This window comes from Homo sapiens, chromosome 17, assembly GCF_000001405.40.
Source record: "Homo sapiens chromosome 17, GRCh38.p14 Primary Assembly".
Lineage (NCBI taxonomy): Eukaryota > Metazoa > Chordata > Mammalia > Primates > Hominidae > Homo > Homo sapiens.
In genome coordinates, this window is record NC_000017.11 from 38,528,421 (window position 1) to 38,555,067 (window position 26,647).

General features: G+C 55.7%; 1 protein-coding gene across 8 annotated transcripts in view, besides 1 other annotated feature; it reads right to left on the reverse strand.

The window, feature by feature from the left end:
* Nucleotides 1-1,610: 1,610 nt before the first annotated feature.
* The window catches only part of SRCIN1 (SRC kinase signaling inhibitor 1), a 76,995-nt gene continuing 51,958 nt past the window's right edge, over nucleotides 1,611-26,647 (reverse strand). For 3 of the 8 annotated variants that reach the window (NM_025248.3, XM_017025172.2, XM_017025171.2), the window contains 8 exons: nucleotides 24,305-24,435; nucleotides 24,027-24,174; nucleotides 23,466-23,712; nucleotides 22,735-22,969; nucleotides 20,636-20,790; nucleotides 20,137-20,289; nucleotides 15,403-15,549; nucleotides 1,611-5,011 (listed from right to left, as the gene is read on the reverse strand). In NM_025248.3, the coding sequence (NP_079524.2) occupies nucleotides 4,877-5,011; nucleotides 15,403-15,549; nucleotides 20,137-20,289; nucleotides 20,636-20,790; nucleotides 22,735-22,969; nucleotides 23,466-23,712; nucleotides 24,027-24,174; nucleotides 24,305-24,435 (1,351 nt within the window). In that variant the 3' untranslated portion in view covers nucleotides 1,611-4,876. Of the gene's footprint in view, nucleotides 5,012-12,860; nucleotides 14,717-15,402; nucleotides 15,550-16,454; nucleotides 17,040-18,040; nucleotides 18,113-19,338; nucleotides 19,462-20,136; nucleotides 20,290-20,635; nucleotides 20,791-22,734; nucleotides 22,970-23,465; nucleotides 23,713-24,026; nucleotides 24,175-24,304; nucleotides 24,436-26,647 lie in introns of those variants that run through there. The other 5 variants (XM_047436852.1, XM_047436851.1, XM_017025169.2 and 2 more) reach the window with 4 other exon arrangements.
* Nucleotides 22,313-22,522: a silencer, noted in NCBI's record as "fragment chr17:36706969-36707178 (GRCh37/hg19 assembly coordinates)". NCBI's record gives its function as "represses an EF-1alpha promoter that drives an FKBP-Casp9 reporter gene in an ReSE screen in both phorbol 12-myristate 13-acetate-treated (for megakaryocytic differentiation) and untreated K562 erythroleukemia cells {active_cell/tissue: K562 | K562(+PMA)}" and the evidence as "EXISTENCE:reporter gene assay evidence [ECO:0000049][PMID:32094911]".

Here is a 26,647-nt window from a genome sequence, read left to right on the forward strand (position 1 = left end):
CTTGATCTTGAACTGTCATGAGTGCAGTGATTCTGGGAGAGGGGGTTTTTTGGCTCCTCTCCCAGTTTTTGGGGAATAGGATGGCAGAGAGAAGGCAAGATCTGCCGACATTCTAAAAAGGACATAGGGATGGGCTACGGGCAGGCTGAGGACTGGCTTTCTGTGAGTCTCAAGGGTTGCTGGGCTTTGGTGGGTGGGTGACTCATGGAGGGGCATTCCCTGCAGACAGTAGGCAGGTTGCTGCCCTCTGTCTCCAAAGAGGTCTTTAAGAGAAGGAAGCGCAACTGGGGCCCCTGTGATGACTGGAAGATTGTGGCTCCAGGACACAGTCACTACCTTCAGGGATGGAAGTGAAGTGATGCTGAGGGGGGAGAAGAGATTCAGTAACATGCCAGCCCTCAGCCACGCAGAACAGCTGGAAGGCTGCCTCGGGGACTCTTAGAACATGCTGGAACAGTGGCACAGCCTTCAGAATTCCGGGAAAGCCTGTAAAACCCAATCAGGACCCATGGCATACACCATGGTGCTCTGTGTAGCAGGTGCTGCTTTGCTGTGGCTGTTTGTGCATATGTGTGTACATACCTAAAGCATAGAGGTGTCAAATGCATTTTGTATTGTTACCACTTTACGGGTTTGAAAGCTGCTGCATCTAGAAAAGATGTTTGTGGCCGGGCTCGGTGGTTCACGCCTGTAATCCCAGCACTTTGGAAGGCCGAGGTGGGCAGATCACTTGAGCTCAGGAGTTCGAGACCAGCCTGGGCAACATGGCGAAACCTCATCTCTACAAAAAATACAAAAAAATGTAGCCAGGTGTGGTGGCAGGCACCTGTAGTCCCAGCTACTTGGGAGGCTGAGATGGGACAATTACCTGAGCCCAGGGAAGTTGAGGCTATAGTGAGCTGTAATCATGCACTCCAGCCTGGGTGACAGAGGGAGACCCCGTCTAAAAAAAAGAAAAGAAAGAAAAGATGGGTGGACCCCCACCAAGGGTCATCTCACTCAAAGGGCAGGAGGCTGAGACCCAATTCAGGGGACTACTGGAGGTCATCAGCCCTGCTTGGTTTCAGGGTAACCGTGGGCTTTGGTGTCAGGCAGAGCTGGATTCAAACTTACTGGTTTGTCTACAACCTACCAGTTGTATGACTCTGGGTAAGATGCCCAACATCTCTGAGTTTTGTCACTTGCCTGAGTAGGTAGTGCCGGTAGCTACCTCACCGATGGTTGTGAGGGTTAGGCAGGACACCTCCTGGAATGCCAAGCTGAGAACTGGTTTTTTTTGTTTTGTTTTTGTTTTTTGAGACAGGTTCTCGCTCTGTCATCCAGGCTGGAGCGCAGTGGTGCGATCTTGGCTCACTGCAACCTCCACCTCCTGGGTTCAAGCGATTCTCATGCCTCAGCCACCCGAGTAGCTGGGATTACTGGTGTACACCACCCCACCTGGCTAATCCCAGGGGCCCTGTTCTGTCCTCCCCCTCATGCTCTGCCAGCTGAAGGCCAGTGGCTGCCAGGGATTCCCCACCTGCCACCCCACCCATCCCAGCACCTTCCAGATCCTCCAGGGTGAAGCAGAGAAATAATGAGACATCAGCCTATAGGAAGGAGATCCAGGAGAGGAAAAAGAAACAAGTTTTATTAAAGCCCCAAACACTTGGCTAGAAAAACTGAAAAGGAAAGAGAGCAGGGAGCGGGGGAGAAGAAAAAAGGACATTAAAAAAGAGAGACAGAGAAAACACAGCAACCCTTTTCCATTTAGAAATTGTCAAGTTACACCGACAGAGGTCACAGAATATCCACAGAAGCCATCACTGCTACACCAACATGGGCCCTACAGGGTGGATGGGGCAGGGTGTGGAGCCGGGGCTCACCCCGGGGGGCCCCCTGGGGACCCCACTCAGAGCCTCAGGCCTGAGGCTCCTGGGGAAACAGCATATTGTGGAAGGGGCAGGAAATCCCCCATGCGAGTAACACAGCACAGTGGGCGGGGGCTGAGAGGACCAGGTACAGGGGTCCCCCGAGACGTCTTAGTTTTCTCTTGGTCAAGCACACACTGATGGACAGAGCAGCGAGGCGCATGCAGCTGGGGGCACTGATGTGCTGCAGGCTGTGAGAGGGCCAGCGGGGACGGGGGCTCAGGAAGGGATCTGGAGCCAGTGGTGCAGGGATGATGGAACACACGCACACAGAGGCACACCCACACACTTGGGTCTGCACCAGCACACATACCTGCACACACACACTCGGAGACACAGATTACATGCACCTCCATGTATGCGTCTCTATCCACATGTACGTGGCCCACACACAAGTCTCTGGCTCTCGGCATGTCTGCACACACATTACACATGTTCTCACACACAAAGCTCCTCTCACGCTAACATGCAGGTAGGCACGTGCCAATGCCCAAACAGGTTACATGCACCTATGTGCCCACGCCTTCCCCCACACATGTGCTCGGCCATGCCTGTGGGTGCAGGCCCCATGCGTCTGCACACACAGTGCATGGGCTTGTGCCAGCACACACACAGGCTGCACGCAATTCCACACGGATGCCTCCCAGCCCATAAATGTGCAGGAACCAAAGAGAAAGAAAGATGCAAATCCCACTGGGCTTCACCCGAGCGGGTGGGGCGGGGCACGTGGCTCCCTCCTTCTGCCCCTTCGTGGATGGACACTGCCCCCCCCACCTCCCCCACAAAGGGACATTCAACTCAGGACAATGACGGTGGGGCACACATTCCAGTCACAGGGCTGAGGGTGGGAGCTGGGGGCAAGCGAAGTAGCAAGCAGAGAGTAATGGAGTGGAGGGAGGAGGGGGCACCACTCCCCCCTCCCCTCCCAAGTCAGGGGGTCTCTGTACAGCCAAATCAAACCAGACCATTTCACTGGGACCACAGAAGCCAGGCCGACGTGCCCGCCCCCCAGCCCCCCTCCCCCGCCAAAACAGTGGCCAGGGAGAGTGCCGTGGTTTTCTTTTTTTTTTCTTTTTTAAATATTTATATATATTTATATTACGTATATTATATATATAATATGTAAATATATTTTTAAAACAATATAAAATGTTAAGACACTTCACTTAAATGTAAAGAGTTGCCTGCAATTAAAAGTAATTGCATCATTTATGAGGTCCTTTTTTTTTTTTCTATTTTCCAGGGTTTTTTTTTTTTTCCAGGAGGGATTTTTTTTTTCCTCTTTTGTTATTTTTCAAAAAGGCTTGCTCGCCTTGGTACAAAAATGATCCAAAGCTAGAAAACAAGGATGAACCAACAAAGGCAAAAACAAAAAAAGAAATGAAGAAACACAACCCGTTTCCCCTCCCCCCAAACCTTCAACAGCTCCCAGCTCTCCCCAGGTGCGGACCTTCCCCAGCCAGGCCCCAGGGTCTGGGGGGCTCTGCCTTCTGCGCAGCTCCTCCTTTCTGTGCTTGCTATGGGGGACTGATTCTAGTCCCCCTCCCCTGTGCTTACTTCACTTTGTGCTCCAAGTGGGAATCCTGCGGCCGGGGACCCCGCTCCTCCTCCTCCTCTTCTCCTATCCTCTCCCTACCGGCTCCTCACTGTGCCCTCTGGGGGGCCAGGAGTGAGAACCAAAATTGGCCTCTCTCTGCCTCCCCAGGACCCGGCCAAAAGCCAGGCGGCACTGCCAACCGCCTCTGCAGGGCAGGCAGGGCGTCCACAGGCCAGGGGCGCTGGCTGGATGGTCAGGCCTCAGGGACCTTCAGACATCTCACCAGGGTCACCAGAGCCCCATTGAAAAACTACGTCTCATCCTTTCCTGGGAAAACCCTCAAATTGCCAAGAGGATGACTGAAGTTCAAGTCACCCCACCTGCGGGTCCCAGGTGTCTTCAGTGCTCCCCGTCAAGCCCCTCTCGACCCTCCCATTTCCCTCAAACCAGACCCTTCCCCCAACTGCAAGCCACAAAACCTGGTTTTCTAGGCCCCTCACTCTTGCCCACCCCATCCCCATTCAATAAGTTAATGCCATTTAAAGTGCTAAATCAGGAAACTAAAAGTACCAAATACCCGTCCGGGCCGCCCTCTCCCAAGGCAGTGTCCCCGATATCCGGCTGTCCGTGCAACCCACCCTCCACAGCCAGCAGACCAAAGGGCCTCTGCCCTCCACTCCCCACTGGACGGCAAGGCCCAGGAGGCCAGCGCCTCCCCAGGGATACAGACTCCATGGCCTCACACCCACCCTGAGGCCTCTCAAACTCCGGCCTCGTCTCCAGCCTGTCCGTCTCTACTCCAGGCCCACTTGGGTGTGAGTGGGAGGAGGCAGAGCAGCCACAGAGGAAGTCACAGTCTTGTCGGAGCTTAGACAGGGAGTGGGGCATCTCCAAGGCCAGTCTCCCTAAGCCCCGCTCTCTGGCTTGATGTATGGGTTGGTCCGATGTCCCCGCGTTCCTCCAGGAAGGTATCGAGAAACGGGAGAGGGGTCTCCCACTGCTCCAAGTCTCCGTGGTTCAGAGTTTGTTTGGAGTATTCTTGGGAAGTGAGGGGAAGGCGGGAAGGGGGTGCAGGAGCTTCAGGATGGACTGGGGGAAAGAGTGGTGAAAGAGAAGAAGGAGAGATGTGACAGGTGCGGCCAGCGAGAGGCCAGCTGGGATCAAGGAAGGTGGTGTGTTTGGTTTTTAGTTTTACTGTTTAAAAAAAGATAATTAAAAGTTAATTGTTAAAAAAAAAAAAAAAAACAAAACCAAAAACACCAACAGATGATGGGTAGGGGTCGCTGAGGAGGGCCGCACCCTCCTCTTCAGGGCACACCCCTCAGGGCGTCTGGAGAGTAGGGTGGGGTGGGGTGGAGATGAAGGAAGAGAGGGGAGAAATGGCAGGAGTGAGGGAGGGGGACAGGCGGGGCAGCGGGGTGAGGGGCTTCTAGAAGGAGATGGAAGAATTCCTTGCCCCAAAGGAAGTCAATACAGGGATAGAGGTTCTGGAAGCCGAGGGCTTTTCTGAGACTGGGCTCGAGGTCTCATTCGACCCGCTCATCTCTTTAGATGGTTTAGTGGCCTGGAACAAAAACAGGGGTCAGGGGTCAGAGAGCGGAAGGGAGCGCCTCCATGCTGGCCCCCAGCTGAAGTTTTAAAAGTGGAAAACCTCCACAAATCCAAGGAAATTAACTGCAAAAGGAAGAAGCCAGAGGGGCATCTGGAGAGAGGGGTCCCTTGAATGGTGGAGGGGTGGGGGCAGAAAAGGGGGGGGAGGGGGCACGAGGTTGGACAAAGGGCCTGGGTGGTCAGAGGGCAGGCCCATAGTTACTGAGAGCAGAGAGAGAAGCAGAGCGACCAGAGAAGCACAGAAGAGGCCGCGCCCAGGATGGGCAGATGGGGAGGTGGGGGTGGGGGAGGGCAGGGGAGGGGAGGAAGAAGTGAAACATTAGCTGGGACAGGGGCACAAGCCCTGCGGGGGACGGGGGTCAGGGTGGGGAAAGGCTCCTAGTCCCAAATGGCCCGCTGTACAGCCAGAGCCCCTTCCAGCTTCATCCTGGTGGCAACAGAGGAGGGGGCTTATCCTCCCAGGGGGGAATAAACACTTCAAAGACCCCGTCCACCACCACCACCACCACCACCTGGAAATCTGAGAAGAAGGCGCTGCCGCACCAGCCTCCCGCCCAGTGCAGGAGGCCCCACTGCATGCCCTGCAAGCACTTGTCGCCCCAGTTGGTAACAGGAGGCTACTCCCTCATGACTTGTCCTGCCCTCACTGGTCAGTTCTAGTGGTCAGAACTGACCCCTCATCCTCCTCCCACCTTCGGTGGACTCCCGCAACTCCACCGGTCCTGGAGGCTTTTCCTCTGCAGCTGCGGTCTCCAAAGTGCGGTTTGAGAGCTACGTGCATTACCTCATCACCTCCAGGGGCCACCCTCTGGCATGCATCGTGAATGCAGATTCCTGGGCTCCCCTCCAGAATCCATCTCTTGTGTGGGCTCATGAATGTGCATTTTAAGCAGGTGCCCCAGGTGCCTCTGCTGCACACTTACCTTTGAGATCCACTGGATTAAGGCTACACAGACCCAGGTTTCTCCTTGTAATTGTACCCACTGTCCCTCCTGGCCTTGCTTAGCTACTAGTGTGAGAACTGAATCACCCAGATTTAAAAAAAGATCCAAAAGATAAGACAGGGCGCTGTGGCGAGTCACCAGAGACCACCCTGAGGTTAGGTCTGGGCAGGGTCGTTCACTTCCCTCTACTATCACCCTGCTGCTACGGAGTTTTCTCAGATGCCTTGCAGAGGAGAAGCTAGAGTCTAAAGCAAGCCCTGTCTCCAGCAGCCTGCCCAGCTCACAGTAAAGAACCAGCGCTGGCTGCAATCACCATTTCTCCTTTACAGGTGCACAGATGGTTGGTTCCACGATTCACCTGGGTTTTGCTCACTACAGTGTAGTTTGCCATCTACATTTCCCTTTTATGAGAATCAAAACAAGGGCCGGGTGTGGTGGCTCACACCTGTAATCCCAGCACTTCAGGAGGCTGAGGCAGGATTGCTTGAGCCCAGGAAGTCAAGACCAGCCTGGGTAACATGGCGAGACCTCGTCTCTACTAAAAAAAAAATTTTTTTTAAATAGCTGAGTGTGATGGTGTGTGCCTGTGGTTCCAGCTTCTCTGGAGGCTGAGGTGGGAGAATGGCCTGAGCTCAGGAGGTGGAAGTGGCAGTGAGCCATGACTGCACCACTGCACTCCAGCCTGGGTGACAGAATGAGGCCCTGTTTTTTTGTTTGTTTGTTTGTTTTGTTATTTATTTATTTAAGTTAAAGCGAAAATTCCCCATTTGGGTTTTCTTTTTCTTTCTTTTTTTTTTTTTTTTGAGATGGACTTTTGCTCTTGTTGTCCAGGCTGGAGTACAATGGCGCAATCTTGGCTCACGGCAACCTCCGCCTCCCGGGTTCAAGCGATTCTCCTGCCTCAGCCTCCCGAGTAGCTGGAATTACAGGCATGCGCCACCACGCCCGGCTAATTTTGTGTTTTTAGTAAGACGAGGTTTCTCCACGTTGGTCAGGTTGGTCTCAAACTCCCCACCTCAGGTGATCTGCCCACCTCGGCCTCCCAAAGTGTTGGGATTACAGGCGTGAACCACCGCGCCTGGCCCTGTTTGGGTTTTCTAACCCCTCTCCTCTGCTCATCCATTACTCAAGGGAGTTCTAGGGGGTCCAGGGCCCAGCCACAGGGTCGTCAGATTCACGCAGTCCTCAGCATGTGTCAGGCATGGCCCCTGCCCTCTCTGTGCCCCCAGTACCTGGGCCTGGAGACAAACTCATCCAACGGGAACCAGAGGCTCTCTGACCACTGTGTCACTTACCTTGGGCTCAGTCCTGCCTCTCCTCTGCTCTAGCCTTTCCCATTTAAAGTTCTTTCCCCCAAAGCCAGGTGAGAGGGAAGCACTGCCCAGTTCCCCCTGATGTCTCTTCACACCTCACCATGTCCCCCGGCAAGGTGCTGATTCTCCCCGGTTGTCCTTTTCCCTCTGAACTGATCTTTCTAGGTAAAAGCTGCTTTTTCTGCTCCTACCCCTTCAGCATTTTTCAAGAGCCTCATTCTATTCCAAGTTTTGGTCTTGGGAACACTTGTCTTCCGGCACCACCACCTGGCTTCTGTATTCAGGCAGGTGATGTGCCTTCACCCAGTTGAGGTACCCCTTCTCCCCCCAACAGCCAGTGCAAGACCTTTAGACATCCAGCTTCACCAGTTTATGGGGATGCCTCGTCCCCGTCCCGCTTCTTCATGGAGACCACTTCTGCAACATGTGCTTTCTAAAATCCTCTCGGGTCATCTTCCCTCCCGGGAGACTCTGGACACACCATCCACAATCCACTCTCCTGAAGTTGAGGGAGCACGTCCAGCTGTGCCCGGTGACCCCAGCCTGTGCTGCTAACCCTTCTCAGGTGACACAGCTGCTGTCTCTGAAGGTTCCTGTCATTTCCTTTCACCCATCATCCTCCCCTGCTGATTCCAATTATGTCCAGAGAAGCAGAACTTTGTTACCTTCGTGGCAAGGCAGAAACCTCACACATGTCCAGCTTTCAGCTGGGGGAGGCATGGAGCACTGAGCTGGTCCCAGAGGGCACCACCCTGCACACCTCCCTCTTGCCTGGGGATCAGAGCCGGCCACCTGCTCTCGCCAGGTCCATGTTCCCGAGGCCCTTCACATTCTGACGCCCAGATGTCCAGACAAGTGTGGAACCTCTCGACTCTACAGACCCCGCTGACTCCACCTCCAGGGCCATTCCCAGGGCCACCCTCCCTAGCCCCCATGCCCTCCTTCCTTGCTAAGCCCTGCCTGGGTCAGGTATTGAACCATCAGGAGAAGCTGGGCTTTCCCCAGCCCAGAGTGGGGGATGTGGGGATCATGACAAAATCTATGGCAATTGGAGAAATTCCTTTCTCCTTGCCAGTGACTGATTTAGGAATGGGCAGTGAGATAAGAGGTGTGGTCTGTTGGAGGCTTCTGGGAAAGATTCTCCAGCTTCTAAAAACAGCTGTGTGAGGCCGGGCTCATGCCTGTAATCCCAGCACTTTGGGAGGCCTAGGCAGTCAGATCACTTGAGGCCAGGAGTTTGAGACCAGCCTGGCCAACACAGTGAAACGCCAACTCTACCAAAAATTACAAAAATTAACCAGGCGTGGTGGCGTGCACCTGTAGTCCCAGCTACCTGGGAGGCTGAGGCAGGAAGATCGCTTGAATCAGGGAGGTGGAGGTTGCAGTGAGCCGAGATCGCACCACTGCACTCCAGCCTGGGTGACAGAGCGAGAGACTCTATCTCAAAAAAAAATTAAATAAATAAATAAAAACAGCTGTGTGAAGCCGGGCTTGGTGGCTCATGCCTGTAATCCCAGCACTTTGGGAAGCTTAGGTGGGTGGATCACCTGAGGTCAGGAGTTTGAGACCAGCCTGGGCAATGTGACAAAACCCCATCTCTATCAAAAATACAAAAAATTAGTGAGGCTTGATGGCGCCACCTGCAGTCCAGCTACTTGGAAGGCTGAGGCGGGAGGATGGATTGAGCTTGGAGAGGTTGAGGCTGCAGGGAGCAGAGATCATGCCACTGCCTGGGTGACAGAGTAAGACCCTATCTCAAAAATAATAATAATAAGACTGGGCTCTGTGGCTCATGCCTGTAATCCCAGCACTTTGGGAGGCCGAGGCGGGCGGATCATGAGGTCAGGAGATCGAGACCATCCTGGCTAACAGGGTGAAACCCTGTCTCTACTAAAAATACGAAAAATGAGCCAGGCGTGGTGGCGGGCACCTGTAATCCCAGCTAATCAGGAGGGTGAGGCAGGAGAATGGCGTGAACCCAGGAGGCAGAGCTTGCAGTGAGCAGAGATCGCACCACTGCACTCCAGCCTGGGCAACAGAGCTAGACTCCGTGTCAAAAAAAAAAAAGAAAGAAAAAAAAATAAGGCCAGTCACGGTGGTTCACACCTGTAATCCCAGCACTTTGGGAGGCTGAGGTGGGTGGATCACAAGGTCGGGAGTTCAAGGCCAGCCTGGCCAACATGGTGAAACCCCATCTTTACTAAAAATACAAAAATTAGCTGGGGGCAGTGGCAGGCACCTGTAATCCCAGCTACTCGGGAGGCTGAGGCAGGAGAACTGCTTGAACCCAGGAGGCAGAGGTTGCAGTGACCTGAGATTGTGCCACTGCACTCCAGCCTGGGTGACAGAGCGAGGGTCCATCTCAAAATAAATAAATAAATAAATAAAAATAAAAATAAAATAGGCCGGGTGTGGTGGCTCACACCTGTAATCCCAGCACTGGGAGGCTGAGGTGGGCGAATCACGAGGTCAGGAGTTCGAGACCAGCCTGACCAACATGGTGAAACCCTGTCTCTACTGAAAATACAAAAATTAGCCAGGCGTGGTTGTGGGCACCTGTAATCCCAGCTACTAGGGAGGCTGAGGCAGGAGAATCACTTGAACCCAGGAGGCGGAGGTTGCAGTGAGCCAAAGTTGCGCCACTGCACTCCAGCCTGGGTGACAGAGTGAGACTCCGTCTCAAAAAAAAAAAAAAAAATAATAATAATAATAATAAAATAATAAAAATGACAGCGGGACCAAATGCAAAGAAACTTGGGTCCTGATATCCTCAAGCTGCTAAATTCACCAACCCTGGAATCCCCCTGCTTCCAGCCTTCTTGGTTACAGGATACCTTTCCTTATTGTTTATCCATTTTGAATCAGGGTTCCTGTTCCTTGCAGCTGAAAGCATTCTCACTGATACACGTGAGGCCCAGTGTTGCTTTATTGATCTATTCGACCTTCATTTTTTGTTAACGTATCACCTTCTAGAATTCTCGTCACAAGCGCGATCTCATCGAGGCTTGCTCACACCCACGAGGTTATGCTCCCTGGCAGGGCAACAGAATCCAGCACTAAGACAGCAGAATTTGTAGCAGGCACACTCGGGTTTAAGTCCCAGCTCTGCCACTTTTTAACCGTGTGACCCTAATCGCATATCTCTCTGTGCCTTCATGTCCTCACCTGCAAACGGATAACAGGCCCCACAGCACCAGATGCACATGACGAGATGATGCCAACAGGGTGTAAGACCCGGCGCCCAACACCCTCAGTACACATGCAACAAATGGTAGCCATTATAGCGATTGTCATTTTAACCTTTCAGATTTGCTTTGGCTGTTTCCACCTGGATTGGGCCTGATTGGTGGCAAACTCATTCGCTCATTCACTCAACAAATATTTACTGAGTGCCTACGTATGCCAAGCACTATTCTAGGTGCTGTGGGGATGCAGCTGTGACAACACAGATTTACTTTAAGGTATAAAGTTGTAAACTTGGTACCTAACAGGTATGCTATCTGTCTTTCACTTGCCTCTCCATACCCCGGAACCAATTATGGGGGGGCTCACGTATGTTGCCCAGGCTGGTCTCGAACTCCTGGCCTCGAGTGATCCTCCTGTCTTAGCCTCCCAAAGTGGGGATTACAGGCGTGAGCCACTGCCCCTGGCCTCCCAGAACTAATTTCTGCCGTGCTCTGTACCCTGAGAGGCTGATCCTGGTCACTCCTTTGCTGACTGGACTCTGGTTGGGTTTGGCCAGTGGGGTCTGTGGCAGGGTGAGAGAGAGGTAGGTGGGGTGAAGTTCCTTCCCTGCTCTCTCCCTCCTGGGAGCTGTGTCACAGGCAGCAGCTGTGCCCTCCACAGCACAGCTCTGCTGCTCCCGCCCTCCGGGACTCGCTAAACACCTGCCCCACTGCCCTTCCCCCAGGGAGTCACAGCCTCCTGCTCTGAGATGTCCATGGGTACCTCGGCATCCCTTGTTTTCTCCCTCAATCCTCTGGTGTCGTCCTTTCATTAAAGTCTCTTCATCTGGGGCCGGACGCAATGGCTCCCAGCACTTTGGGAGGCTGAGGCAGGCGGATCACTTGAGGTCAGGAGTTCAAGACCAGCCTGGTCAACATGGTGAAACCCCACCTCTACTGAAAATACAAAAATTAGCCGGGCGTGTTGACACACACCTGTAATCCCAGCTACTCAGGAGGCTGAAGCAGGAGAATCGCTTGAACCCGGGAGGCAGAGGTTGCCGTGAGCCGAGATCACGCCACTGGACTCCAACCTGAGCAACAGAGCGAGACTCCATCTCAAAAAAAAAAAAAAAAAAAAAAAGTATCTTCATTTCAGCCATCTGAGAAGATAAGCAGTTGTTCAGCAAATTTCTTAGCCCTAATAGAAGAGGGGGTGTCCATAGCTTCAGGTCTACACAAAGCCTTGATCCTTGCACGCCTGGGAACCTGGCTCCCGTCCCTCCCTGGGATCTTAAGCACAACATTCACGGGCTTCTCCTCAGTCACTTCCTCTGACTACTCTGTGGGGTCAGGCACTGCTGCAAGGCACCTCCATCTTAGAACTTTCTTACTCCCAATTTCTGTGTCCCTGATCCCAGCACTTCTAGTCCCCTCCATCTCAACATTATCAAAGACAGCTTGGACTCACTGGATGAAGGAGAGGCCTTGGGCACCGCCCCCCCAATCCCCACCCCCGCCGGCCACCGTAGAGCTCACTGTGGTGTTCCAAGCTCTCTCCTGTACCTGGCATTATGTGAGCTCAGGACCAGGCTGGATACTTCTGTCCCCATTGTACAGACGAAGAAAGGGCCTGAGAAGACAGAGGGCTTTGACCAAGGCCACAGGCTGAGCTAGTGTGGATCGTGTCCCACCAGTGACCCGCATGGCTGGAGCACACCGAGGGTGTGGGTGCAGGGGCAGGGTGAGCTGAGGCTGCTGTGAAGGGCCCTGGGCCGCACATGAAGGATTTGGGTTGATCATCTGCCAGGGGCCGGGGCAGGGATTTTAAGCTGGCAGGGGTGTGTGTGTGTGTGTGTGTGTGTGTGTGTGTGACACACACAGAGACAATCAAATCTGCATTTTACAAAGTTCCCTCCCCACCCCCAGGTCTTGGGAAATCAGTTAGAGGTGACAGAAGTCACAAGGAGATCTTAGAAGACCGTGCATGTTGGTAGTGAGACATCGATGGTTTTCCCCTGCTTCTCTATACTTTACTGTTGAAAATTTCCACAGGGAGGCTGGTGGCGGTGGCTCACACCTGTAATCCCAGCAGTTTGGAAGGCTGAGGCGGGTGGATCACGAGGTCAGGAGTTCAAGACCAGTCTGGCCAATATGGTGAAACCCCATCTCTACTAAAAATGCAAAAATTTAGCCAGGCTTGGTGGTGGGCGCCTGTAATCCCAGCTACTCGGGAGGCTGAGACAGGAGAATCCCTTGAACCCAGGAGGCAGAGGTTGCAGTGAGCTGGGATCGCACCATTGCACTCCAGCCCGGGTGACAGTGTGAGACCCTGCCTCAAAAAAATAAAATAAAATAAAATAAAATAAAATAAAATAAAATTTCCACTGTAAACATTTATTACTTTACAAGAAAGAAGCCATGTTTATAAGAAAGGCTACTGGAGCACTGGAAGTGAGACAGGGGCACGGAGGGGCTTGGGAAGGCTGGGGGTGGGCGACCCTTCCTGAGGGAGACAGCAGCTGGGGCAGCCTCGTACCGGCTGGGGCAGCGTGGTCGGGGGAGCATTATGTCTGGACACACGCATTCGAGGAGCCTGGGGATGCCCGGGGAAGCGTGTGTGGGTGACTGGAGCTCAGAATGGAGACCTGGGTGGGGGCAGGGACTAAGCAGTGCACCTGGTGCCTGAGGAGAGGAAGGCATGGTGTGAGGAGAAGAGGCTGAGGAGTGGGGCACAGGAAGGGAAGAGGCAGGCAAAGGAGAGTCGCCCAGGCAGGGTGCAATGGCTCACGCCTGTAATCCCAGCACTTTGGGAGGCTGAGGTGGGAGGATCACCTGAGCTCAGGAGTTTGAGACCAGCCTGGCCAACATGGTGAAACCCCGTCTCTACTAAAAATACAAAAATTAGCCAGTGTGGTAATTAGCCTGTAGTCTCAGCTGCTCGGGAGGCTGAGGCACGAGAATCACTTGAACCCAGGAGGCGGAGGCTGCAGTGAGCTGAGATCACACCACTGGACTCCAGCCTGGGAGACAGAGCAAGACTCCGTCTCAAAAAATAGAGGGAGTCACCCAGAAAGGAGCCCAGAGGCTCCAGGTGGAGGCTGGGGAGAGGATGCTGAGGAACAGAGGGTCTGCACAGCCCTATGCAGGTGTGGGGGGGGTCTACAAGGCCACATGCTGCAGAGCAGTGGGGGAGGGGGGTGAAAAGAGCCCATCTCGATGTCACTGGAGACCCAGGCAACCCCGGAGATGGGGTGGAGGCTGGGCCATAAAGGCATGAGGCTGACACCACAGCGGAGGAGCTGGGCTCTGGGGAGGGAGGGACTAGGGTGGGAAACAGTGCAACATCATTAGAGCTGAGGGAAGGGGCTGCTGGAGAGGCTGAAGCACTTTGTGGTGGGGAGGGAGGCAGTCTGGACTTGTGTCCTGCCCCCCACTTGCTAGCCGTGTGGCCTTGGATTAAGCCTCAGTTTCCGCCCCCGTCACATGGGGGTAATAGACCTTCCTCAGTGTGGTGAGTGTGAGATGAGATAATGCGCATGCCTGGCCCCAGCGAAAGCTCTGTCAGTGTCAGCTGCTCTGCTGGGCACCCAGGAGGGTCCAGCCCGGACAGGACAAGGGGAACTCATCCCTGGCAGTGGCAGGAAAAAGATCTGGAGGTGGGGCTCGCAGGGTGTCTGGGGGCCATGAGGAGGCAGGTGGGAGCTGTGGAGAGGCTGCGGGGGGCTGGAGGGCTGCTTTTTGAGAAATTCTCCTGGGAGCCAGTAGGGAGGCAGGGCCTTGGGTGCCCAGGGCTGTCCCAGGGCCAGTGCAGGGAAGGGTTCCAAGATTCCTAGGTCCCGATCCTGGCTGTGATGCCACCTTGCTGTGCACCTTTGGGAAGCCCCTCTCCTCCTCTGAGCTGCCCCCTCATCTGAAAAAGAGATGGACTCACCCATCTCTAACCTCTTGCCTCTGAGTCTAGAACCTTCTCTAACGTCTTGCCTCTGAGTCTAGAACCTTCTTTAAGTGAGAGCATCTGGACATATCACAGCCCCCACCCTCACACCCAGAATGGGCCTGTCATACAGGAGCTGCTCATAAATATTAACTAAATCAAACGAGTGCACTAAGGGTCTCTCACAACATCTGGGTCCAGGAGCCACCCTGCAGCCTCTGACCAGGCCACAAGGGCAGTAAACACCCACAGGTGAGGTATGTCCACTCTCCACACAGCCTCCGCGCCTGCTCATTAGACCTGAAAGAGATTGCGGCATCCCTGCAATTCCTGCTGCACCCCTACCCTTCCTGAGGGCCAAAGTGCCTCGCCCTGTCCCCACCCAACCTTGCAAAGACGGGAGGTGACCCCACTGAAACCCAAACACAAGGCTGAAAAGCAGATGCAAAGTTGGCTTCTCCCTTGGCTAGGGGTGGCCTAAGAGCTAAGAGGGAGACCAGGATGAGAGTGGGGCCCTGAATAGCAGGCGGAGCCCTGGGAAGAGGGAGAGGGAAGCGGAGAGAGAAACAGAGTGGCAGGAAGCAGAGGGCCACAAAATCCCCCTTCTGCACCCCAGGGTAGGCCAGGCCTGAGAAGGGACCCAGGCGTTGGGGCTGCTGGAGTCACAAACTCGCTCGCTCGCCCCTCCTCCAGGAGCCAGCAGTGGCAGCTGGAGAGTCTTCTCTGTGTCTGAGTGAGGGAACTCCTGAGAGGGGAGGTGCCTGGTTGAGAACTCATGTGCTAATCTAGATCCAAAGCTCCGGGATCGGGAGGAGGAGGGAGAAGACGGTTCAGGGGGTGGGTGGGGCAGTCCTGGCAGGGAAGGTCTGTCTGGGAAGAGGTTGGGAAAGCTGGTCACGGGAGCAGGGGCAGGAGATGCCCAGTGGGGCAGGGGCCCGGCATGCAGCAGAGTGGGCCTGGGTGGCCCCCACAGTCCCCGCCCTCACCTGCTGCTGGGCCTGGATCCGCATGTACTCGGCCCTCTGCTTGCCATGTTTGCTTTTGTCGGGGCTGCCCGCCTGGCCCTGGGCCGCCTTCAGCCGAGAGGCCCCCGGAGTCACCACCTTCATGGGTGGTACACTGCCTCCGCCACTCTGCAGGAAGAGGAACAGGGTTGCAGTTGCAGAGTCCACATGGGGTGAATCACACAGGAACCCTAGCACTGGGTGGGGTCTCGGGGCTGGGACCTCCTCAGTGGGGCCCTTTGAGACCTGGAGACCCCTCTCTAGCTCCACACCCGAGTCCAGAACCCAGGTCCACCCTCTCAGTCCCCACTTATGGTCTCCCTGCAGGAGAGGGGTGGGGCCCAAGCCAGTTTCCCAACGGCTCTTGAGGGAGAGCTCTTCGGTGGCTTCCTTGAGTAGCTCAGGGGCAGCTGATGCCCTCCTTGGGGAGCCTCTGCTAAAGTGAGGGTCCCCAGCAGCAACCCCACTCCCGGCAAGGGGCACCATCTGGACCTGGGTGCACATGCCAGCAAGGGGCTCTCTATAATGGCACACAGAGCAGAGGGGCAGCCCCAGGCCCACATCCTCCTCCTAAGGGGAGGATGCAGGTGAGGTCTCCCTAGGGATGGGCAAGCTTGGCTCCCATGAACCTCCCCAAGTACCAGGCCTGCCCGCGGGGCACTGGGGATCCAGAGGCGCAAGCAGAGAGATGACAGAGACAGAGAATCAGAGACAGGAAGGGGAGGGGAGCATGGGGATGGAAGGTGGGGAGAGAACTTTATTTGTTGGTTTACAGATACAGAGCAGAAGGGGGAGGCCCTGGTTCTTGCCAAGGCTGGGGATTGGCCGGCCCCTGGGTAGGCCGGCTTCCCAGCCTCCCCCGGACTCTGCCTGCAAACCCTGCTCTGGCACCAGGCTCCCAGGAGAGTGGTAAGAGCTGAGAGAAGGCCGGTGGGAGGAGGGGGCTGGCCTGGCATTTCTGCTGCCCCCTACTCTGTCTGACTCTGGAAATGGAGGAGGAAGGCAGCAGAGGAGGATGAAAAGCGGGCAGCCACCTGGGGGCGGAGGGGTAGGGGTGGGGGGCTGCCAGGGGACCCCATGGCAGGGCCTGTGCCCATGTTGCTCAGGGTGGCTTCCAGCTCCCGGAGCGTCTCCTCCAAGCTGTCCATCTGCTGGGCAGTGGCGCCCCACGTGGTGCGGCCTGAGTTGGCAGCAGCCTGGCCCTGATGCTCCCTACTGCAGGTTTGGGCATCATGTCCAGAGTCCTTGAGGATCTCCTCTGGGTAGGTGTCAGCAGTAGAGGTCTCTGGAGTCCCATCCTGGGCTGGTCCCTGAGGACACTGTACTCTGGCTCCTCCATCCTCTAGGCTGCTGCCTCCTCCACCCAGTCTCTTCAGAGCTGCCCCCTCCTTCCGGGGCATGAAGCTGCTCCTCGGCCCAGAAGTCTCCCCCACTACCCCTGGTGGGGACTGTGGGCCATCCCAGCCCCTCGTGCTGTCAGCCAGGGTCTGAGGTCTTGGGGTGGGAGCTGTCCTGGGTCCCAGTTCCTCAAGTCTGGCCTCTGGCGGGGAGGGAGGGTTGGGGGCACACTCTGTCAAGATGATCCTTGGGACGCAGAAGGCCCTGGGACCTGGGGCAGCCTGCCGGGAGAAGGAAGATGAGGAAGAGTGTGATTCCTACAACCAAACCCCAAGCTAAAATGGGTGTTACAGTTAGGTGAGCCTAGCCCCTTTCTTTTACAGATGGGAAAACTGAGGCAGGGAGGGTCCTGACAGAGGCTACCCAGTAAGTTGGAGGCAAAATTGGGACCAGAATTCAGGTCTTTCCCACCATACCCTGTGGCCTCCTACTTGCCAGTAAAGGTGCCGGTTTGGCCAGGGCAGGCACACATTTACTTTACACCACCCATGTGAGCCTCTGGGAGCCGGGCTCAGGGTTGTTCCCATGAGCGTGCCCATCTGTGCAATGACTCGACACCAAGGTGGGGCCGGTGGAGGATGAAGTGAGCTCGCTGGGCATGTTGTGAGTGCTTCATAAATATTAGCTATTTGTTGAAATGAATGGAATGGCCGAGACCTTTGGCCCCATGTGGGCAGAGACAACATGTCAGCCTCTGGCATCTCAAACCAGAGACTTCTGGTCTACCCCAACTTTGTGTGCTCTCCCCAAGAGCTTCACAGCTAGAAGGGGTGGGGCTTGCCCCCTGACAAATCCTCTGTGGCACACACACTCGGGCAAAGCTCCCTTGGGCACCTGCTCCGGTGCCAGCATCCCTGGCCCTGGCCTCGGTGAGGGCACAGAGGGAAGCCCCAAGTACCACTCCCCGATGTGAGTGAATCCTGGTCTAACTCTGAGCACCAGGCTTGTGCCAGGTGCCGTCACACCCTTCCTCACCTTCAGTGCCTACCTTAACCCGGGAAGTGACTGCTGCTCTCACCAGGGCGAGGGAGGTAACACACTTCACCCAAGGCCACCCACCCACAGCTAGTTAGTGGCAGAGCCTGGATTTGAACCCAGGTAGTCTGACTCCAAGGCCAGTGCTCCTTCCACTAAAGGGAGCCGTGGGGAGATGGGAGGGGGCAGCAGGGACCCCCAACCACCCCCTCCCAAAGGAACCCACCCAGCCTTGCCACCTGCTTACCTGGAAGTGGGGGGTGCTGACTGGGAAGGCAGAGAGGGCAACCTCACGCTCGCCCGGCTCCGTTGCCCGATGCTGCCGCAGGATGCAGAGGGTCGGCCAGGGGCAAAAGGCCTTGTCCACTGGGCCCCTCAGGATGGGCTCCCAGAGCCGGAAAGGGGCAGGGCTTGGATGGGAGGGGCCAAAGTGCCAAGGGCATGGCCAGCCCAGGAGGCGCCCCTTCCATACAGCTCATCCTAGAGGTTCCTCGCACTGCTCTGTGCCCATCCTCTGCCCAGCAGAAGGCACTGTCCACTATCTGATGCCCCTCTGCTCCTCCCCCGCCAGGAAACCAAAGCGCCAACAGGCCTCCAGCCAGGCCAGAAATCAGGTGGCCACCAGCACAGAGCCCACTGTGGGCCAGGGAGCCCCAGATAGGGAGTGTGTGCACACGGGAGGCTCTCCTTCTCCAGAGCGGAGCCCCCCTGCCTCAACCTGACCTGGCAGAGAGAGAGAGATTCCCAGACCTTCCCCCTCCCCTCCTCCCCAAGCACAGTCCCCAGGGGTAGGGTGCAGACAGCAGGTTCACCCCCAAATTCCCAGGAAAGAATAAAGAGGAAATAAGTGCAGCAGGACAGCAGCAAGGACTGACATTAGAGAGAAGGAAGAATTTCCCAATGCCAAAAGAACCAGCAGCCAAGGAATGGCATAGCTTTCTTCCATTCCAGGCTCTCTGTCCAAGAGGGCATCGTAGGCCCTTGGGCTAGTGAGGCTGTAGACGAGCCTACCCCTGTGGTGTCCTGGCCCCCAGCGCAAGGCATAGATTCTAGGGGAAAAACAGAGCCCCTCCCCGGCACAGGCAGCAGAGCAGCGAAGATGGAGGTGGGGGCTAGGCAAGGGCTCAGGACAAGGTCAGATTTTGAGCTGGATCCAAAGTCATCTTGTGAGCAAGATCCAAACTCCAATCTTGGCCACACTCAGCCTTCGGGCCAGACCTAAGCTCAAACTGCGAACCAGAACAAAATACTCAGGCCTCCATCAGCAAGCCCGTGAGAAAATGCAGACACAAGGGGCCACCAGACACCCAGGCTGCTGGAGTCTCAGGGAGCCCCCCAGCAAGCAGCGGGGAGGAAGGGTTATGCGCCTGTCCTTGGAGTGGGGGAGGGGTGAGTCCACATGTAATGCTGTGGCAGTGGCTGTGGCCATGGTGGGACTTGGGATGGTGACTGGCGTTTTAGCGGGTTAGCGTGGGAGGTGAGGAGAGGAAGCTGTGGGGGCACAGGCAGAGAGAGAGCTGTGAGAAGTGGCAGCAGCCCCGTTACCTTCCGTGTAGGGCCTGGGGCTGAGCCCCCGGGGGGCCCCAGGTCCTGGGGGGACAGCAAGGTGGGGATCAGCTGGCGGCGGGGCGTGGGGGGGAGGGAAGACACTGAGCTTCTCTCAAACACCTGGGGAGCAGAAGGTGGGGGCAGGTTTGGAGGAGGGGGCACTAGGGAGGATGGGGGTGCTGGCCTGTGGCCCCGGCACCCTTGGGGAGGGTGGCCTGGGATGGCATCGGCCCCCAGCCTCACCCCTTGGTCCCTTGCCATAGCCGCCAGCCCTCTCTGCCCTCATCTGGTCACCTCAGAGCCCTGGTAGTCCAGGTCTCCCGCACTGGAGCTGGGGGTGGCTGAGAACGCTTGAGTGTGGTGACTGACACTGCTGGGAGAGTCGAGGCATGGGGTATGAGAGTCTCAGAGCTCCGTCCTCAGAATACTCAAGTATGGGGGTCTCAAGCATGAGCTGATCTCAGAACACTGGGGGATGGGGATCTCCAAACTCGGTGATCTCAGAATCTTCGGATACGGGACTTTCAGAGTGCAGGAGGTCTGGGGATACTTGGGGGGACTCAGAGACTATAGTTAAAAAACTCAAACCTGCAAGGAGAGAAGACTTTAGACCCCCACCCCTCATTTCACAGTGGAGAAGAAATGGAGGCAAAAGGCTGGGGTCTGAACAGCCAGCGCTCCGCAGGGAGCCCGAGAGCCCATCTTCTGCCTCATCCTGTCACCTGGCCTGGGGGGCAGCCTGGGAGGGAAGGGGGCCTGGCTGAGACCTTGGGGGCCAGGTGTGCCCTGACCTACCTCTAGCTCTGCGATGATGCGATCCTCGTCATCCTCGTCCTTGATGGCCGAGGCCATGATGGGTGGTGTGGAGGCTGGGCGGGCCACCTCAGACACAGCCCGGCGCAGCTTCACCTGGGGCTTCTGCACCTCCAGCTCCTCGGACTCAGCCTTCTGCAAGGCCCGGGACTCCTGTCAAGGCCAGGCTCTGCCCCACTTCAGCACCAGCTCACCTCCCAGGCCCCATCGCCCATGTACCCCAGCTTCTCGTCTGCTACTTCTGCTGCTACACCCCTGCCAGGGTGTCCCTCAACAGACAGGGGCCTGGCATGGAATTAAGGCAAATACACATACCTAGAATCCCAAACTAGCAGGACAAAGTCGCCACCGGCCACTCCCTCTTTCCTTCCATGTTCTCTGAGAAAGGGGTCTCTTTCCCACCCCAGAGGGCCTCCAGAAGTCATCTGAGGCTTCATCCTAACTCAGTCCCCTGGCCCTCTGTCTGAGGTGGGAGTGGTACCTTGATGAAGGCCGAGTCCTTCTTGCTGGTGACCACCACCTCTCCGGTACGTGTGGTGGTCAGGCCATGGGAGGAGGGGAAGCTCCGGCGGGGAGGGGGCGGTGGGGGCGACTTGGAGGGCTTCTCTGTGCGGTATCGGGGCACGGTCAACTCATCTGCAGGCACCAAGGGGCTGGGGGTCAGCAGGCCTGCAACCTTGGAGTCAGTGCACTACATCTAACTTGAAGGGGATAAACCTTGCTTCTTCCTCCAGGGAGGACCAGGAGGAGGTGAGAGGAAAGCCTGGGGGCAAGAACACAGGGCCCCTCCTTCTCTTACCTCTCCTGCACACAAGCCCCAAGCCCTGTCCCTCTCCTGACAGCACTCTTGCTACTCCAAGTGTTGTCTGTGGACCAGCAGCACTGGCAGCGCCTGGCAGCTTGTCAGAACTGCAGCTCAGGCCCCACCTCTGGGCTGCTAAACCAGGATCTGGTTGAACAGATCCTGAGGTGACGGACACACATTCAAGTTAGAGAGGCGCTGCTCTAACCACCTCCTTCCCACTGCCCCTCACCCTTGCCTCGGCTCAGCTCTCCATCTCTCCTCCAGGGATCCTGGCCCCTCCCACTGGGCTCTCCTCTCCCCCAATTTGTCCTCCAGCCCTGCTTCCGGGGTAACCTGCAGAGAGGTCACTCTAGCCATTCCCCTGCCTTTGATCTTGCAGTGGCTCCCCATCACCCCAAACCATGTCCAAGCTCCTTAGGCCAGCACCTCTGCACCTGCCAAGCTTTCAGCCTCAGCTCTGCTTGCTGCTCCCCAGGCTGGACCCTGTTCAGGCCATGCCACACACACACCTTCAGGCGTTTGCACACGCTGTTCCCTCACCCTGGAGTACCCGCTCTCACTAGCTAGGGAAGTGCCCACTCATTTGCAAGATTTCAGTGAAAAGTCACATCTTTAGGGAAGCCTTCCTGCCCTCCTAGGGCCTCCGCCAGGACTGCACAGTACCGGCATTCACCTCTGCTATTACATTTAGCACTTGCATTCTATTTCTGGTTTACATACTAGGCATGGTCCGGCACAGATTTCTTAATCATTTTGAGCCTATGTCCTTCTCTGTAAAATGGGAATAACTACCGTGTCTGCCTCCTGAGCTTGTTATACAATTATAAGGATGAGGCCAGGCGTGGTGGCTCAAGTCTGTAATCCCAGCACTTTGGGAGGCCAAGGTGGGCGGATCACGAGGTCAGGAGATCGAGACCATCCTGGCTAACACGGTGAGACCCCATCTCTACTAAAAATACAAAAAAATTAGCCGGGCGTGGTGCAGGCGCCTGTAGTCCCAGCTACTCGGGAGGCTGAGGCAGGAGAATGGCGAGAACCCAGGAGGCGGAGCTTGTAGTGAGCCAAGATAGCGCCACTGCACTCCAGCCTGGGCGACAGAGACAGACCCCGTCTCAAAAACAATAAATAAATAAAAAATAAAAATAAAATTATAAGGATGACTACAGTAAAAGCAATGGAACAGTTCTTATCACAGAGTAAGTGCTTGATAAACACAAATGTCAGTGTTATTCCCCCCACTAAATTTTGAGCTCTTTTAAAGCAAGCCCTGTCTTATTTCCGTATCTCCAGCACCTAGCACACAGTAGGTACTTAACCAATATGCATTGCAGGAATGAATAAAATGAAGGAATGATGACTGCCACTTCTGGTCTGGATTTCTGCCACTCCCGGGACCGTGACTCAGGCTGGGGACCATGGGAACTGTGTCAGTATCAGCAGTATCAGCGCTCAACCCGCCCTCAACACAGCCTGGTTTGGGGCATGTGCCCAGCCAAGCCGTGGAGGCGGATGACTCTGCCTGGACTTGCTCCCTGCCTGGTCCTCTCAGTGGCTCCCTTCCCAGGACAGTGGGAAATGCCGGGATGGAGTCCAGCTTGCCCTGTCCTTCTGGGTCCCAGTCTCCCTTTAGTGGCAGCCGATGTCCCAGGGCCTCCCTTGTGTGGCAGCCCAACCACAATGATCTTGAGATCCCAGTGCCTCCCCCATCAGCCTGGGCTCCTGAGGAGGGCACTCCCCCACGCTGGGCTCCTTACCAGCCCTACTACTCCCCATACCTGAGCCCCTCCTCCCACTGGGCTCCGTTCGGGGGGCTGCCTTCTGGCCGTGGGGGGCCTTGGGGGGCTTGTGATCTGGAGTGGGGGCCGGGCCTGGATGGGCCTTGCTGGCACAGTCCAGGTCAGGGATGGCCTTGAGCAGCTCTGCCTGTGTCTCTTCCAGCAGCCGGTTGATGTCCTTGGCACTGTACTGGGTCAGGGCTGCCCGCTTCTCCTCCCAGTCTCGCTCTGCAGCCTTAACAGGGAGCCAGGAGTCAGGATTGAGGTAGCTCTCCTGCTCCAGGACCTCTGGGGCCTCAGCCTCCTCCCCCAAGCCACGTAGGCAAGGAATAGAAAACGAAGCCTCATATTTGATCCCACCTCCAGGAAGACACTTTGACTTCTCGTGGGTATCACATGGCATCCCCATGGGTAGGAATGCCACCCTCATTATATACTACATTCGTGATAAACTTAGATCTATTTCTGGGCATTCTATTGTTTCACTGACTACATAGTCTATTCTTGGGCAAACATCATACTGCTTTGATTATTGTAGCTTTATAATACGCTTTCTGTCTAGGAGGGCTAATGTCACCCTCATTATGCTTCTTAGGCTTCCATTAGGGCACTGGCCCTCCTCCCCCAAGGAAAAAGACCCACAGGATTGGCACTCCCCACTCTAGGAAGGATGGTCGTAAGAATGTGTGAACCTGGCTCATGGCCCCACCCACAATCCCTGGCCCCAGCACCTCAACAGACACAGCTTTGTCCACGCTTCTCTTGCCAGGAGTGTCCAGGCCTTTGGTGGGGTTGCCCCCCTTGGGGGTAAGAGAGGCTCCTTCAGCTGGCCCGCTCAGCTCATGCAGGTTCAGCGGGGGGCTGGGGGGTGGCATTTCGAAGTCCACGCTCTTGTTGAAGTCAGTCTCTGCCGTCACCTTCTTGGGGGACTGACTCAGGAGATTGTTGGGGGGTGGCCACACACCCTCATCCACTTGCCTGGGGTTGGGAGAGTTGGGAGCAGCTGTGAGGCCAGCAGGTGGTGACCCTTCTGCAGGAAGGCTGCTCTGAGGGAGGTGGGGTGGGAGGCAGGCTCTGGGATGCTGTGGGAGGGCCTGGGGAGGAGTGACTGCCCCTGGTATAAGAGGAAGCCAGGTCTACAGCATGCAGGGGTCACAGGGCAGAGCTGAGGTGCCAGTCCAGTCGGCACGCCAGTGACCTTTGGGGGAGTTGGGGTAAGGGTTCAGTATGACCTATGGGTCTGGGCCCGGTGTGTGAACCCATGGGAAATCAGAGGTCAGGGACAGAATGACCTTCGGATCTGGGCCAGCGTGTCCGTGACCCCGCGGCAGCGCTTGAGGAGCCCATCCAGGCGCTGGGGCTCCTCCTTCAGGAACTTCACCGCCTCCACCTCCACGCGCAGCACCACCCGCATCTTGCTCTGCAGGCCCGGGAAGTGAGCTGAGGAGACAGGAAGGCATGAGCTGGGGCCAGAGGGAGCACCACAGACTGGGAGGAGAGGATGGTGGCTGGAGTATGGCAGACTTCCCCACCCTGAACAACGTGCTGCATTCGCAGGCCCCAGACCCACCCTTGAGCTCTGTCAGCGTCTCCCCGAGCTGCTTCAGCACCAGTGCCTTCTCCTCCAGCTCAGGGCCGGGCACCAGCCGGTGGTTGTGGGACACGTCTCTCTGGATCTTCTCCACCGATTTCTCCAGGTCACTGCAGCCACAGAGAGACCCTTTCAGCCCTTTTGGCCTGAGATGCCAGCCCAGCCCCCTGAAATTGGGCAACTGGAAAGAAATCAGGCCACCAGTTGGATCGAAAGTAAAAGCAGGAGGCTGGGCACCGTGGCTCACGCCCGTAATCTCAGTACTTTGGGAGGCTGAGGCAGGCGGATCACTTGAGCCCAGGAGTTCAAGACCATCCTGGGCAACATAGGGAGACCTCATCACTACAAAAAAATAAAATAATTAGCTGGATGTAGTGGCAGGTGCCTGTAGTCCCAGCTACTCGGGAGGCTAAGGCAGGGGGAATCACTTGAGCCCAGGAGGTTGAGGCTGCAGTGAGCCGTGATTGTGCCACTGCACTCTAGCCTGAGTGACAGAGGGAGACCTTGTCTCAAAAGCATACAAACATAAAAGCCAGCCATCAGGCCACATACTCAAGTAAAATCTGCAACGCCAAATCTCAGAGATGAGGAGACTTCAGAAGCGCTCCCTAAGAGGTGCCCTGCACCATCTGCCCCCTTGGAAGCTCTGACCCTCAGCAATATCTGCCCGAGTATCTCTCATTGTAACTTGCATCCCCTGATTCTATTCTGCCAAGGAAGCAGAGAGAACTTAGTTGCCTTTCAAAGAACCAGAGGCAGAGCACGTGCCCCCGGGGAGGTCTCTTGTCTCGGGGGAAACTGCCATGTCCATTGCCCTTCTCTCACATGATCCAGCCACACAGCCTCTTTCCTGAGGGCCAAAGCTGAGTTAGATTTTCAGCTACTATATGCTGAACTTGTGTCATTTGAGACCCTACATTCTTCTAAATTGTAAATCAGATCAGGTCTTCACTTGTGCCATTGAACGCTAAATGGATCCCATCATCCTGAGGCCTAACATCCAAACTTTTCAATGCAGCCAAGAAGGGCAGGAAGGTGGTAGTTGAAAACTTGGTTCTAGAGTCAGACTGATCCAAGCTCCAATCCTCACTCTGCCCTTGCCAGAGGAGAGATCTTGGGCAAGTTACCTAATATCTCTGGACTTCAACCTCCTCGTCCAAAAAATAGGGATGGTAAGAGCTCCCCGCTAGGCATGGTGGTTCAAGCCTATAACCTCAGCACTTTGGGAGGCCGAGGTGGGCTGATCACCTGAGGTCAGGGGTTCGAGACCAACTGGCCAATATGGCGAAACCCTGTCTTTACTAAATATACAAAAATTTGCTGGCCATGGTGGCGTGCGGCTGTAATCCCAGCTACTTGGGAGGCTGAGGCAGGAGAATCGCTTGAACCCAGGAGGCGGAGGTTGCAGTGGGCCGAGATCATGCCACTGCACTCCAGCCTGGGGAACAGAGTGGGACTCTGTCTCAAAAAAAAAAAAAAGAGTTCCCCCTTCATGGGGGCCATCAGGTGGATTGGATGAGCTAATGAAGACAGGAAAGCACGCGGCAAAGGGCTCAGTGCCTGGGAACTGCTCTTGTTTTCCGTGCTGCTGTAACCCTCATCTCATCTGGCTTCTGCTTAGAGCCCTTCAGACCTGCTCTGAGGTGCTACATGTGCTGTCCTCTCTGGCTCTTTATAATGCTGTTTTCTCTGCCTAGAATATTCCATTCACCCATACACATACAGGCACACACACGTGCTAACTCCCACTGATCCTCAGGTCTCAGTGGGAAGCTGTCCTCCAGCCCCTCCCCTTGCGGCTGTTGGGTCTGCTTCCTGCCCTCCAAACCGCTGAAGCTCCTGTTGGCTGGGTTGTGCAGCCTTCTGGACTACTAACCCCAGGCAGGCAAAGACCATGTCTTCCAGATTCATCTCCGGTTTCTAGCACCTGGCATGGTGCCTGGTGCAGAGTAGATGTCTGGGAAATAATTGTGGAATGAATGAACAAGGGAGAGAAGGAACTGCTGCCCAGGTAAGTCATCTCAGTTCTGTACTTGAGTCGCTGACATCCCTGACTCACATGCGGGACTTTATATATATTCCTGTCAAATCCCATTGTTGGATTTCAGCTCAATCCAGGGGCAAACAACTTTTGAATTTCAGTTCTACCATCCAACAGATTTGCTCCCCCTTAAAGCTCTGTGTCATCAGCAAATCTTATCAGCACGCCTTACACATCTTCATCCAACTAGCAGGTGAAAAGACAGACTGGGTTGAAGTCAAGGGCAAAAGCTTGTGACTCAGCAACACTACCAGTTAAAGAGCTATCCTGTATTACGCACT